Here is a 12,815-nt window from a genome sequence, read left to right as displayed (position 1 = left end):
TATCCCATAAATACTGAAGAATGGACATGAATTTAAAGCCAACAAAACACATAAAGCCCCTCAAATATCCCCTGAGCCTGTGCCACCTCTAAGTGTACAATGATGTTGTAAGGAACACGGCTGTGCTTTGGTCAAGGATAGGCCGAGGTAAACATCCAGAGTGACTCAGTGAGTTTAGAGCACAGGCGTATAACTCCTCTTGTTATCAAAACCATGTAGCCATAACATGGGAAGGCCATCCCTTGGCCCTACGCCACTATTGTCTGTGAAAGGTATAATTGCCCTGCTGACACTGTACAAGTGCACTTGCGCCCAGAGAAACAGAGAGTCAAAGCTGTCCATCTTTGCAGATGAACAGCGGGGAGCCAGGACACGGCTCAGCTCACTCATGCCCAGAGAGAGAAACAGTTAAGCTGCTGACCCTGAAGGGAGAGCTGTCCATGTAGCTGTGTGTGGGAGCCACCGGATGAAGCAGCCAAGACAGAGCGAACAGTTTGAGAGACCTAGTGTGTGTAAGCTGCTGTTGAGAGAGCTGCTGAATAAAACTACCTTTCACCTGCCTACAGCCCTCCAAGTGTTCTTTTAGCTCTCTGCTCACCCACCCACTCCCTTCAGATCTCAGCATGAGCTGGAACCTGACCCCAGCATAACATCTGGCGTAGTCATGGACCTGACAATTGGCATAGTTGGCAGGATAAGGTGAGTGGGTCTTTGGCCCCTGAAGGCTCCCGGGTTGGCTCTGTGGCTGCAGCATGGGCTGTGGTACCTGGTGTCAGTGGTGCTGCTTGGATGGGCCCCAATGGAAATGTGGGAGGCAGTGGATAGGTCTCCTGTGAGTGTGGAGAAAGCACCGAGGCAGCTGGAAGCACGCAGCACCGAGAAGGAACGCACCTCCACCAGCAGAGTTGGATGGGCATTTCTGACTGCACTGTGTGAAATACATGCTCAGTGCCACAGGTAAGGGACATCCCAGCACAAGCCGTGTGCCTAGGGACCCAAGTGCACAGCTTGTAGCAGAACCGGGGGTGAGGGACCTTCAGGTGCAAGCAGGGCACTTGGAGGCCCAGATAAACAGCCTGGAACAAGAGTTAGCAACAGCTGTAAGTTTGACCTTGAGCCTGTCCTCCAGGCTGGACAGTCCCATTTGGTCTGATCCTGAGGAGGAGGGGGCTCCACCACTGCAGGCTCACCCTATGATCTGTCAAAAGGTACAACATGACCATCTGATGGGAACCCAGTGGAGAGCCCTGGAACCCCCCACAGTAGTGGAACACACCTCTTATAGTGCTTATACACCCACTGAGTTGTGAGAGTTAGGTAACAGTGTCAGCAGCACCCAGTGCCCCTCCCTGCCTGGCCACTCTGTCTTTGGGACAAGGAGGCTGGCAGCATTTCTTGCTCCACCTCTGAGATGGAAAAGCTGGCTTTTATCACAACTCACCCCTCCCTTCGTCAGTGGCTGTATCTGTGCCGATGGTTGGCACAAGGGCATGGTGAACACACATTAATCGAGTGGCTAATGGCAGCAATATGGACTGTTTGGAATGATGCTGGAGAGATACTAGAAACTGTGAGTAAATGGCGATCATATACTCATTTTGTGCAAATACTCTGGAAGATGGGTATAGAGCAGACCATTTGATCTGAATACCTGGGGGCCAGATGATGAACGCTTTCCCTCCCACATGAGGGATCTTGTGCTGGGCTCAGTGCCCCCGAGTGATTTTGGCTCTCTAGCTGCTGTTCTCACCCCATATGTGGGGCACTGCCTACATGAAGTGACTACTGCTATGGCAGCCCTCAAGGAGGCAGAAGGCCATCAGTTTGCCTTGATGGGAGGTTGACAATGGACTTTCACAGTGTTGCTGCGGGGCTATATACATAGCCCCACCATGTGTCATGATCTTATTAATGATGTTATGTTAACCTCTGATTCTCTTGCAGATTTAGAAGCGGCAATGCTCCCCTTGCCTAGGATTGGTATGATGCTGCTGAGACAGTCTTCCTGGTAGCCAAGCAGGCTAATTAGCAGGCATAAGCCCTACAGGTAGTTGACAAGAGGTGCCCATTTAAGCTAGATGTGCATGTGACCACAGATAGTTTCAGTTAGGGCCTATGGCAGTGCACGGAGCACCTGAGAATATCAGTAGGCTTTTGGTCCCAGCTATGGAAGGGAGCTGAGCTCTGGTATTCCTTGATAGAAAAGCAGTTAGTAATAGCAGGATGGGTGCATTTATGGATAACAACCCCCCGGACTGGGAAGCAGTTAGTAAGTGCGTATGCTGCCCTTCAGGCTCATAAAAGCATGGCAGATTGGGATATAGTCATCATGCAGAGTGTACCCAACAGTGTGGTAGGTACATTCATGGGTAACAACCCCCTGGATAGGGAAGGTGCAGACATCCACTTTAGCGAAGTGGGGCCCCTACTTGCAGCAGTGAAGTATGCTGAGTACAAGTCCCTTAGCACAGATTTACAAGAGGTCTTGAAGCCTATAGGCCTAATGCAAGATAAGGCCATGGAGCCTGAGGCACCCCCACCACTCCTGATGGGGCATGGTATACAGATAGGTCTAGCCAGAGGACTGCTGCTGCCTTGATTGCTGCCGCAGTCCAGCCTAACACTGACAACATATGGTTTAAAACCAGGTGTAGATAAAGTAGTTAATAAGTTGAACTCAAGGCAGTGTAGATAGTGATCACCAAAGAGGTGACACCTGTGGTAATCTGAACCGATGCTGGGCAGTTTATCAAGGCTAAACCTTGTGGTTCATTACCTGAAAGTTATAGAATTAGCTAGTTAGTCACTGACCCATGTAGGGCCAGGCCATGTGGCCAGATCTATGACAGGAAGGATGACCTTCTCCAGCCAGGTACGGGGATGAACAGTAATCTGTTATTGCCTGCCCCAACACCCCTAAAAGTAGGGGAACAATAACAAAAAAACCTGGTGTTGGCCATGGACCCTCCAAGCCCCTCACCGTAGATGGTTGGCTATTGTGGCCCCCTGGCGTGAGAGTGCAGTATAATTTCCAAGTTACTCCTTGGAAATTTAAAGTGTGGCCTCCACAATTAACCGTTGGTAGGGGAATGGCCAGGGAAGGGACCCTCCTCCAGGGAACATATATGCTGTCTGTGTGGCCTCTCATAAGCTTCCCTATAACTTTAGCACAGGTACAGGACCCAAAAGAACCATGGGCAACTGATAAGGTGTGATACTATTGCCCAGGGCAGAAGCTCTTGGTTACTGCGTTGTTATCCAGAGATAAAAGGTGACTTGTATTTTGCCTGAGACTCACGATTTACCCTTGTTAGTACCTGGGTTGTGGACCTGACAGATGTCTATCTGGAAGGCCCCTGCAAAAGCGGTCTTTGGGAGTTTTACATTAAGCAAGGCTCAAGGCATTGAATATGCCTAACAGGTATCAGACCAACATACTCATTAGGTCTCTCCTCTCACGAACCTCACCTGGGATATGCCAGAACAATAAAAGGAAGCTCAGGCACAGAAAGCATCCCCATTTTCCATATAAAATAGAATCTGCCTTTTCCCATGCTGACTCTGCAAAGCAGCTTATTTACAAATATATAAATAGCTACAACTTTACTCCAGTCTCATTGAAAAATCAAAATGGCATCATGCAAGAGAAGCATCCTAGCATACTTGGCTCAACAAGTGAAATGTAAGTGGAAATGAGCCAAGCTACTTGATACTCACTGGGCAGCTCAACCAGATACCCCCGGTTTCCTATAGTGGAGGTACCAGGTTCTGCTCCACAGAACCAGAGAATTCACTTACATTGATTACCCATGGATTGGGCAGTGATTTAGAACCCAAAATTCAGAAAACAAATTCCAAGTCTTGCCTAATATTTATAATCACATAAATTTAAAAAGAAATAGCATTGTCTAAATGTCGCAGCAAGTTTTCCAGTGTAGCTACGTAAAATTAGCTAAGTCTTCTCACATGTAATCCAATGAATTTTAAAAGGTTTCACTCCTTTTGCCAAAATCCTTTTGCCATCTGGCCAGCATTACAGGGGTTTAAATCCGAAAGAAGATGGGGAGAGAAAATGCATCTTAATTTTTAAACAGAATGTATTGCCTTTCTTAAATTTATTAATTAAAGTTATCTACTCCTAGTTAAGAAACATCTAAATATATACATGTGAGAAATATTGCGCCTCTCATCTTTTCTTTATGGCTTATGCATACCTAAGCATGGAACTGCTGTACCCTGAGAATTTAATGCCTACTTATGAGACCACCCAAACAGCGGCAGCTGTAGCGTGGGTCCATACAGTTACATCTGCTGAAGTGTCCCACCTAACAACCACCCATTATATCCCCTGATTTGAAATTCCTTCCTTAATATTCTTGTTTCTTACCAAGTATTGAGCAGTTTACTTTTAAGGAGCCATTTCAGTCATTAAATGAAAATTACCAAAAGTATCACAAAATAGGTTTAAAAGAAACTTTTCTCAGGGAAAAAGTGTAGGTTATGAACCTCATTTACACAGAACGTCTGAGCAAGGGCAATGAGATGATTAATGCTATTTCCCTTTAAGAATTCAAATTTTGAGATTCTCCACAATCTTGTCTGTCTTAAATATTAGGCTACTGCCCAGGAAGGGAAAACATACATACATATTTTCACACAAAAACATTTGTGTTGCATATGAAGCTAAGTAGAATTTTGAGGGTTTTTATTGCGGTATATTCATACATGCGAATATTCATCTTGGACTCCAGGAATAATTATCCTGACCATATGTGCTACCTGCCTGCCTGATAACTCAGCTTTCTGAATTACTATGAAGTCATCCTTTAATTATTGCCAACTATATGGTAAATCATTGTTGCCCTGTATGGTTGCTGACCAATTGTCACTATTTGAATGGAAAGTGATTTTTTTTTTGTAACTCTAAGTGTATCTGTAGAAAAAAGAAAGAAAAAGTAAGGGAAAACTTTGGTAAATCTATTTTAAAATTAAATGAGTATCAAGACCAAAAATAAAAGCACAAAACAGCTTTTTATTTACTATGTACTCTATACAATAGATAAGATGAACACCTAAGAGCTAAATTCTTTTATTTTAACTTAAGAAGCATAGAAAATCTAAAAATTTATACAATAAATATCAGTCTTTTGGCTCTGAATCTATATAGTGCCTTATGTTTTAATGTTTACCTTGAAAAACCTAATATTGGTTATGTCTACTTTAAACATAAACAATATTTCTTCAGAAATGGATTTAATTACTGTTCTCTAATGATCGTGCCTTTTTCTGTACATATAAATGATATTTACACTGTAGAGCCAAGATTAGATTGCAATGATTTTTATAAACAACAAATACATTAACAACACGTTTACCACTGCATTCCAGTGAGGATGATGCTATTGAGAAACTTTATTTTTAAAACAAATTATTTGAAATCTCTTTAGAAAATAATTTATGAAGTATTATTAAACATAAAGAAAATAATTTTTTACTTACATAGTGTCTCTAATAAGAAGTGCACTTCCCAATTTGAAACAGGTTTTATCACTTTCACAAAATGCACGTCTTAGAGAAAAGCTGTCTCCTAGATCAAAACCTGTAAAATGTAACAGATGATTCAATTTAATAAACTAATAGAAATGTTAATTTCTAAACAGAATTTTGTGTTGCCCTTATCTATTAATTGATTCACTTCAAACGAAATCTTGCTGCTTGGGATCAGCAAAATTTCTTGATTTTATTTTTCTCCTTTTAGGGTAAAAGAGAATGAAATTCACTTTGCATATAGAACGTGTAGCCATTTTTCTAGAAAAAAATCATGAATATATTTCAAAAAAACTCAATTTTAATTTCCTTTGACCTAGGAATTATCTTAAGTAAAAATTAGAGTAACTCATTGCAGCAGCTCTCATGTCTAAAGTTAGAAAATTAGATTAAAAATAGTACAGCCATTCAGTTTAAATCTAAGCAGCCTTTTACAAAATTATGCTTTAAAGAAATGTGTATTGATGACAGGAAATGCATACACATGAAATGTAATATAAGAATTATAACTGTGTGTGTGTCACACACTCATTAGCATTTATGTGGGAGAGAGAGAAGAGAAGGAGGAGGAAAAGAAGGAGAAAGAAAGATAAGAAAGATTACCAAAAGGAAAGATAACAAGGATTACCAAAATGGTAATCTTGTCTTTATCTGGGTGGTGACATCTTCCTTCTCACAAATTTTTTTTTCTTCTTCCAAAATTTCTACAATGGACACTTTTATAATTTTAAATAAGTTTTTTTTTCTCCAAGAGGTTGAGGTATTGTTGATCACAGATTAAACATATAGAACCCTGCTTTCGGAATTTTTTCTACATCATCTACCTTAAATTTTTATGGGTCGGGCATGGTGGCTCACGCCTGCAATCCCAGCACTGTGGGAGGCCAAGGCAGATGGATCACTTGAGGCCAGGAGCTCGAGACCAGCCTGGCTAACATGGTAAAACCCCATCTCTACCAAAAATACAAAAAATAGCCATGTGCCTGTAGTCCCAGCTACTTGGGAGGCTGAGGCAGGAGAATTGCTCGTACCCAGGAGGTGGAGGTTGCAGCAAGCTGAGATCACACCACTGCACTCCAGCCTGAGTGACAGAGTGAGACCCTGTCTCAAAAAAAAAAAAAAAAATTAAAAAGAATTCTTAAAATTTTCACGTTAATGCTATGATCTTAAATTGCAGTATCAAAGATTCACCTATAATGTATTCCATATCTAGCATTTGGTGATAATTTTACATAAAATATTACTTTGCAAAGGATTATATTGCCTACCTGAAACTTCAAGTTTGTTTATGTTGTCATATGTCAGCTGATGTCCCTCTATTCTCAGGATAGGGCATGACTCTTCTATTTAAAAAGAAAAAAAGCATAGAGGATTTGCATTATGTATGAATTTTAATTACACAGTACAATCAGAAACTTAAGATAAAATGGAAATAAATTAAACCATTTATTAAATTTCTGTAAAATGAGGATAAGAACATTAACCACCTCAGTGTTTTTGTGAGGGTTACATGTGGTTACTTATGTAGAGTGCTAAGAACACTGCTTGGTTCACAGTGAATACTTGTTAGTGTTAGCCATTATTATTATAACTATTATTTGAACACTTTATGTATCCTTGACATTTGGAAATAAGCTAGTTTTAACATCGTTAAACTTTCGTATTCAAAGTACAATAGTAAAACAAGTGAACTACTACTATATTTTATCACAACTTTAATTCAAGTTTTGGTGTTGGCTGATATGAAACTTTAAAAACTAAAGGCAACATATATGGAAGTTACTAAAATAAAATTTAAAAAGCAAAGATCTCTACCATACAAAAGTGGCCTATAATTTTAAAAAAAGAAATAAAATCATTGAGAAAGTGTACTTATGTGCTACAGCACTTAGTGATATTCAAAGAAATAAAAGATAGTCTCAACTCAGTGAATGTACATGTTTAATACTACCACTACACACTAATACAGTAATGGATATGCACACACCAATTTTTCAACGTCTTAGGACATGTTTAAATTGAATCAGGCTAATTCAGTTAATTCAGACAAAATTACAGCCAATTTTTGAATTGTGCCAAGATAACTGTACAACTGGACAGTTAAGACCATTAGTTTAACATTTTAAACTAAATTGATTAAATATTTTGGCATCATGCAATCACAACTTTAATTCTCTATGTCTAAAATTGATGTTTGGGTTTAATAACTAAGAAGTTTTTAATATAGAGAGGAGATAAACTACTTAAAACCAAATTGAAATTGCCGATTCACCAGTTCCCCCTTCATTTAACAAATATATCACAGACCTCAGGCATGGTGAGAGGGTATCATCTTAATATATTTAACCAGAAAATAAATCAGATTCTAAATAATGCTACCACTTAATCAAATTTAAAAATAAGAAGCAAATATACTGCAAAAAACATTTTGAACACAATTTGTAAAGTAAGTGAAATTATAGCACTGAGTACTTTTAGATATTACTTAGCTAATATGGAAAATTGCTATCTCAGAACTCTTAATACAATTGCAGGCTCTAAATAATAGTAAAATTATTAGAGATTTTGTAAACATTACCAATTAATGATTCGGATTAATAGTCACTTTTATAAAACCCAAGCACCTCATTCAAGATCTGAACACTAAAATCTATAAAACATGCCTGAGAGAAATTAAAGACCTAAATAACTGAAGGGATAAACAAAATGCTTAGAATGCAAGACTTAAAATTGTTAAGATGTTAGTTCTTGGTTTTATCTCTAGATTCAGAGCAATGCCAATTAAAATCCCAACAGTATGGGGTGTGTGTGTGTGTGTGTGTGTGTGTGTGTAAAACTGACAAGCTGATTCTCAAATTTACATGAAACTACAGAAAACAAGCTAAAATAGTAAAAGGCAAAATTAAAGAAGAATAAGCTAGAGAACTTTAAACTATCAGATATAAATTTTTTTATACTGTGGGGTTGGTACACATATGGAAAAACACAAACATAACCCAAAACGTATGGTCTCCTTATTTACCACAGAAAGGCCACTTGATTCAGTGGGAAATGGATGGTCATTTTACTAAACGGTGCTGGGTCAACAGAATATCCATACAGAAAAACACTGAATGTTGAACCTTATTTCACACCATGCACAAAAACTAACTAAAGATAATCATAGAAATAAATATGAAAGGTAAAACAGTAAAGCATCCACAAGACAACAAAGTCTTCATGAACTTGGGATAGCAAAGATGTCTTGAAAAGAACACAGAAACCATTAATCACAAAAGAAGAGATTGCTAAGTTGAACTTCATTAAAATTAACATCTTTACTCAAAAGGCAACACTAAAAGAGTAAAAAGTCAAGCCATAAATTAGGAGAAGTTACCTCCAGTCCAAATATGCAATAAAGTATCATTTCTAGAATATACAATGAACTCTCAGAAATCAATAACAAAAAAAGCTTGAAAATCTTATTCTAAAAATGTGCAAAAAGATTTAAACACTTCAAAAAAGAGAATATCCAAATGTTCAACCCACATATGAGAAGGTGCTCAACATCATTAGTTATCAAGGAAATGCAAAGTGAAACCACAGTGAGATATCACTAAATGGCTAAAATTAAAGCACTGAAGATGCCAAGTGTTGATGAGGATATGGAGCAACAAAAACTATTCTACATTGCTTGTAGGAGTGGAAATTAGTACACTTCAGAAAACTGTTTGGCAGTATTTTTTTTTTTTTTTTTTTTTTTTTTTTGAGACGGAGTCTCGCTCTGTCGCCCAGGCCGGACTGCGGACTGCAGTGGCGCAATCTCGGCTCACTGCAAGCTCCGCCTCCCGGGTTCACGCCATTCTCCTGCCTCAGCCTCCAGAGTAGCTGGGACTACAGGCACCCGCCACCGCGCCCGGCTAATTTTTTGTATTTTTAGTAGAGACGGGGTTTCACCTTGTTAGCCAGGATGGTCTCGATCTCCTGACCTCATGATCCACCCGCCTCGGCCTCCCAAAGTGCTGGGATTACAGGCGTGAGCCACCGCGCCCGGCCTGTTTGGCAGTATTTACTAAAGCTAAATATATATGAACTGTATGACTTGAAAATTCAATGAAGCAAGAGAAAGGAGTGCCCCAAAATGGGTGTAATGGCCCTTTTAGGCAAGAATATTCATGGCAGTCAAGCGTTGATGAGGATGTGGAGCAACAAAACCTCTTCTACATTGCTTATGAGAATGGAAATTAGTACACTTTAGAAAACTGTTTGGCAGTATTTACTAAAGCTAAATATATATGAACTGTATGACTTGAAAATTCAATGAACCAGGAGAAAGGAGTACCAAAAAATAAGTGTAGATGGCCCTTTTAGACAAGAATATTAATGGCAGCGTTACACATAATAGTCTAAAACCAGAAACAACCAAAATGTTTATCAACAAGAAGGAGCAAGATAATTAAATTGTGGCATATACAATGAAAAACTGTATAGCCATAAAAAAGAATGAACTATTGATACATGCAACAACTAGATAAATCTCACAGATATAATATTAAATAGAAAAAAGTCATTCACCCAAAAAATATTAACGAGACAGCCAAGTGGGAGGGGGTCCCTGGAGAAACTCCAACCAGCCCGCCCACTGAGGTGGAGCCTTGGGAAGCTCACACTCTTTGCAGTGGGGAGGACCCTGGCCCTTCCTCTTCCTGTGTGGAACATGAGATTTGAACAGTCTGGCGGGAAGTGCTCTAGCAGGGACTCTGGCCTAGACAGAGTCCCTGTTTCTGCCTTTCCTTCCTTTTCACCCAATAAAACCCTGTCTTACTCACCATTCAAATTGTCTGCAAGCCTGAATTTTCATGGCCATGGGACAAAGAACACCATCTTTAGCTGCACTAAGGAAAAGTCCTGCGACATTTTTGGTGTTCAATGTGGGAGCTCAAGAAGTGGTGAGTGAAATGAGAACACAAAACCTCTCACTGTGGCTTTCTAAGCCTTTTCGTCCTTGGACTTCTGAGCTTATGGGAAACCACCCCACCACCCTCTGTCGCTCCTTGGGGTCGGGAGACTTTTCATGGCCTTTTTTTTCCTTTTTCAGGACAGACTGGTGAGCAGCAGCTCCATGCCGATCCCCACACCCTACGCAGTGCTAGGACGCATGGCTCAAAAGTCCCCCACAGCCAGCTGACTGGTTCCCAGCCACAGACTGCTGCCACAGCCTTCCTCTTCCCTGGCTAACGGGTTTAACTCTTTTGGACAGTAATTAAGCTTAATCTTTTCTCCCTGGTGGAGGAATCAGTTGTATAAGAATAAGAGGTTCTTCCTCAAGCATTAAAAAATGTTTTTTCTTTCCTCCTCTCCACTCCATCAGCAGTTAAGCCTTAAAGATATTTTCCCCCTTTGCTAGGCCAGATCCCCCAACCATCACTGTTTATTTTTTCTGTAAAGCTTAATTGTGAAACAGGATTTGTGGGGCTAGTCTTGGGCTGTGGCCAATCTGGTGTGCTTTGCATGTCTGTGTGGTTTGTGCTGCAAGCCTCATCTTGTTTTACATCCTGGGGGCATGGCCTGTAACTGCTTGGCAAGGCTTTGTTTAGCAATCCTGCCTTAGGGAATAAGTTTCTTTCTGGTTTGATATCTGCATGTTTTCCCAGGCCTGTCCTTTAAAGGGCCCCACCCAGCGACTGGGTTTTCTTCTGCATGTCTATGTACTGTGTTTAATGCCTGTCAAAAGAGCTCTAATTAATTTGGCCTAAAGAAAGACAAGTGCTTAGATCAAATATTTTTTAAAGGGAATATAAAATCTGTAGTACCTTTTAGTTCACATGACTTTAATCTTTGAGAAATTAAAAAAGCCTTAGAGATTATTGGTAAACTGCAGATCAGATGCAAGGTTTGCTAAGTGTTTTAAGGTTACAAACTGCTTTTTGGGTTTTGAGAACTATTTGACTTGCTGGCTTCACAACTATTAAGGCCTGGGGACATATGGAATAACCAGGCCCTTAATGAAGAAAGCAAACCTTGGCTGCAGTTAGCACACAAAGCAACTTACCAAGTTTTATCTTAAAGTTAAAGATGCTAGGAATTACTATTATAACACATAATTGAAACTACTGTCGATGAAAAGAGTCAAATTCCATAAAATATTTTCAGAGATTTATTCTCAGCCAAATATGAGTGACCGTGGCCTGTGACACAGCCCTCAGGAGGTCTTGAGAACATGTGCCCAAGGTGGTAGGGGTACAGCTTGGTTTTATATATTTTTAGAGAGGCATGAGACATCAATCAAATACATTTAAGAAATACATTGGTTTGGTTCAGAAAGGTGGGACAACTTAAAGTGGGGGGCGGGGGTGGTGCTTCCAGACTATAGGTAAATTTAAACATTTTCTGGTTGACAATTGGTTGAGTTTATCTGAAGACCTGGGATCAATGGAAAAGAATGTTCAGGCTAAGATAAAGGATTGTGGAGACCAAGTTTTATTGTGCAGAGGAATCTCTCAGATTGCAGAGTTGTAAAATGTTTATCAGACCTAAAAGGGTACCTGGCTGTTAGTTGATTATCTCTTGGATCTGGAAACAAAGGAAAGAAAACAAAGGAGAAAGAATTTTCTATAGAATGTGGACTTTTCCCACAAGAGATTTTGCAGGGCAATTTCAAGGTATGGCAAGGAAATATACTTTGGGGTAAAACATTGTAATTTTCTTCCTTGTTATGCCACAGTCAGATTGGAAAGTAAGTCACAATATACAGGGTTAAATAAAACCCATCTGATGAGAATTTATGGTTTGTAGGGCATGACTCCCCAGACTCCTTAGAAAGGAATCTGGGCAAGATAAAAATCAGAGCTTAGTCCTTAGTTGCTATTTTAAGTTACTGTAAACCATTAGGGAGATAACCAAACTTTTTTGTCAATTGTGTTTCTAACTGTAATTACCCTGGACATTTTGCTATTCACAGACAATTGTTGTCCTATTTTAATCCTTTTCAAAAGATGGTTTCTAATAAGCTATAGAACTGTAACAGGTGCTCTGAAATATAGGTTTATGATAGCTTTAGAAATTGTAACCTTTGGAATAAAGGAAAATAGTACAGGACTCATGAAAAGCTGAAACATTCACGAATATCAAGCAAAACAAGAGTTAACTAAATGGACTGAACTCAGAAAGCTGAAGCAACTTATTTGACTTTTGGTTGGAATATTGCTGATCCTTGTTTGGGTTTTCATAGTCGAAGAAATTTATTTTGAACCTTTTACGGCCTTTAATAATTGAGTAAGGTATACTCC

General features: G+C 39.6%; 1 protein-coding gene across 8 annotated transcripts in view; it reads right to left on the bottom strand.

The window, feature by feature from the left end:
- Positions 1-12,815, bottom strand: part of COL19A1 (collagen type XIX alpha 1 chain) — a 345,913-nt gene that overhangs the window by 306,631 nt on the left and 26,467 nt on the right. For all 8 annotated transcript variants that reach the window (NM_001858.6, XM_047418188.1, XM_011535437.3 and 5 more), the window contains exons 3-4: positions 6,816-6,890; positions 5,500-5,599 (exon numbers count right to left, since the gene is read on the bottom strand). In NM_001858.6, coding sequence (NP_001849.2) covers positions 5,500-5,599; positions 6,816-6,890 — 175 coding nt within the window. The remainder of the gene's footprint in view (positions 1-5,499; positions 5,600-6,815; positions 6,891-12,815) is intronic.

This window comes from Homo sapiens, chromosome 6 (genome assembly GCF_000001405.40).
Source record: "Homo sapiens chromosome 6, GRCh38.p14 Primary Assembly".
In the NCBI taxonomy this organism is placed as follows: domain Eukaryota; kingdom Metazoa; phylum Chordata; class Mammalia; order Primates; family Hominidae; genus Homo; species Homo sapiens.
The sequence above is the reverse complement of the archived record's forward strand: the minus strand, read 5'-3'. Positions and strand labels throughout refer to the sequence as shown.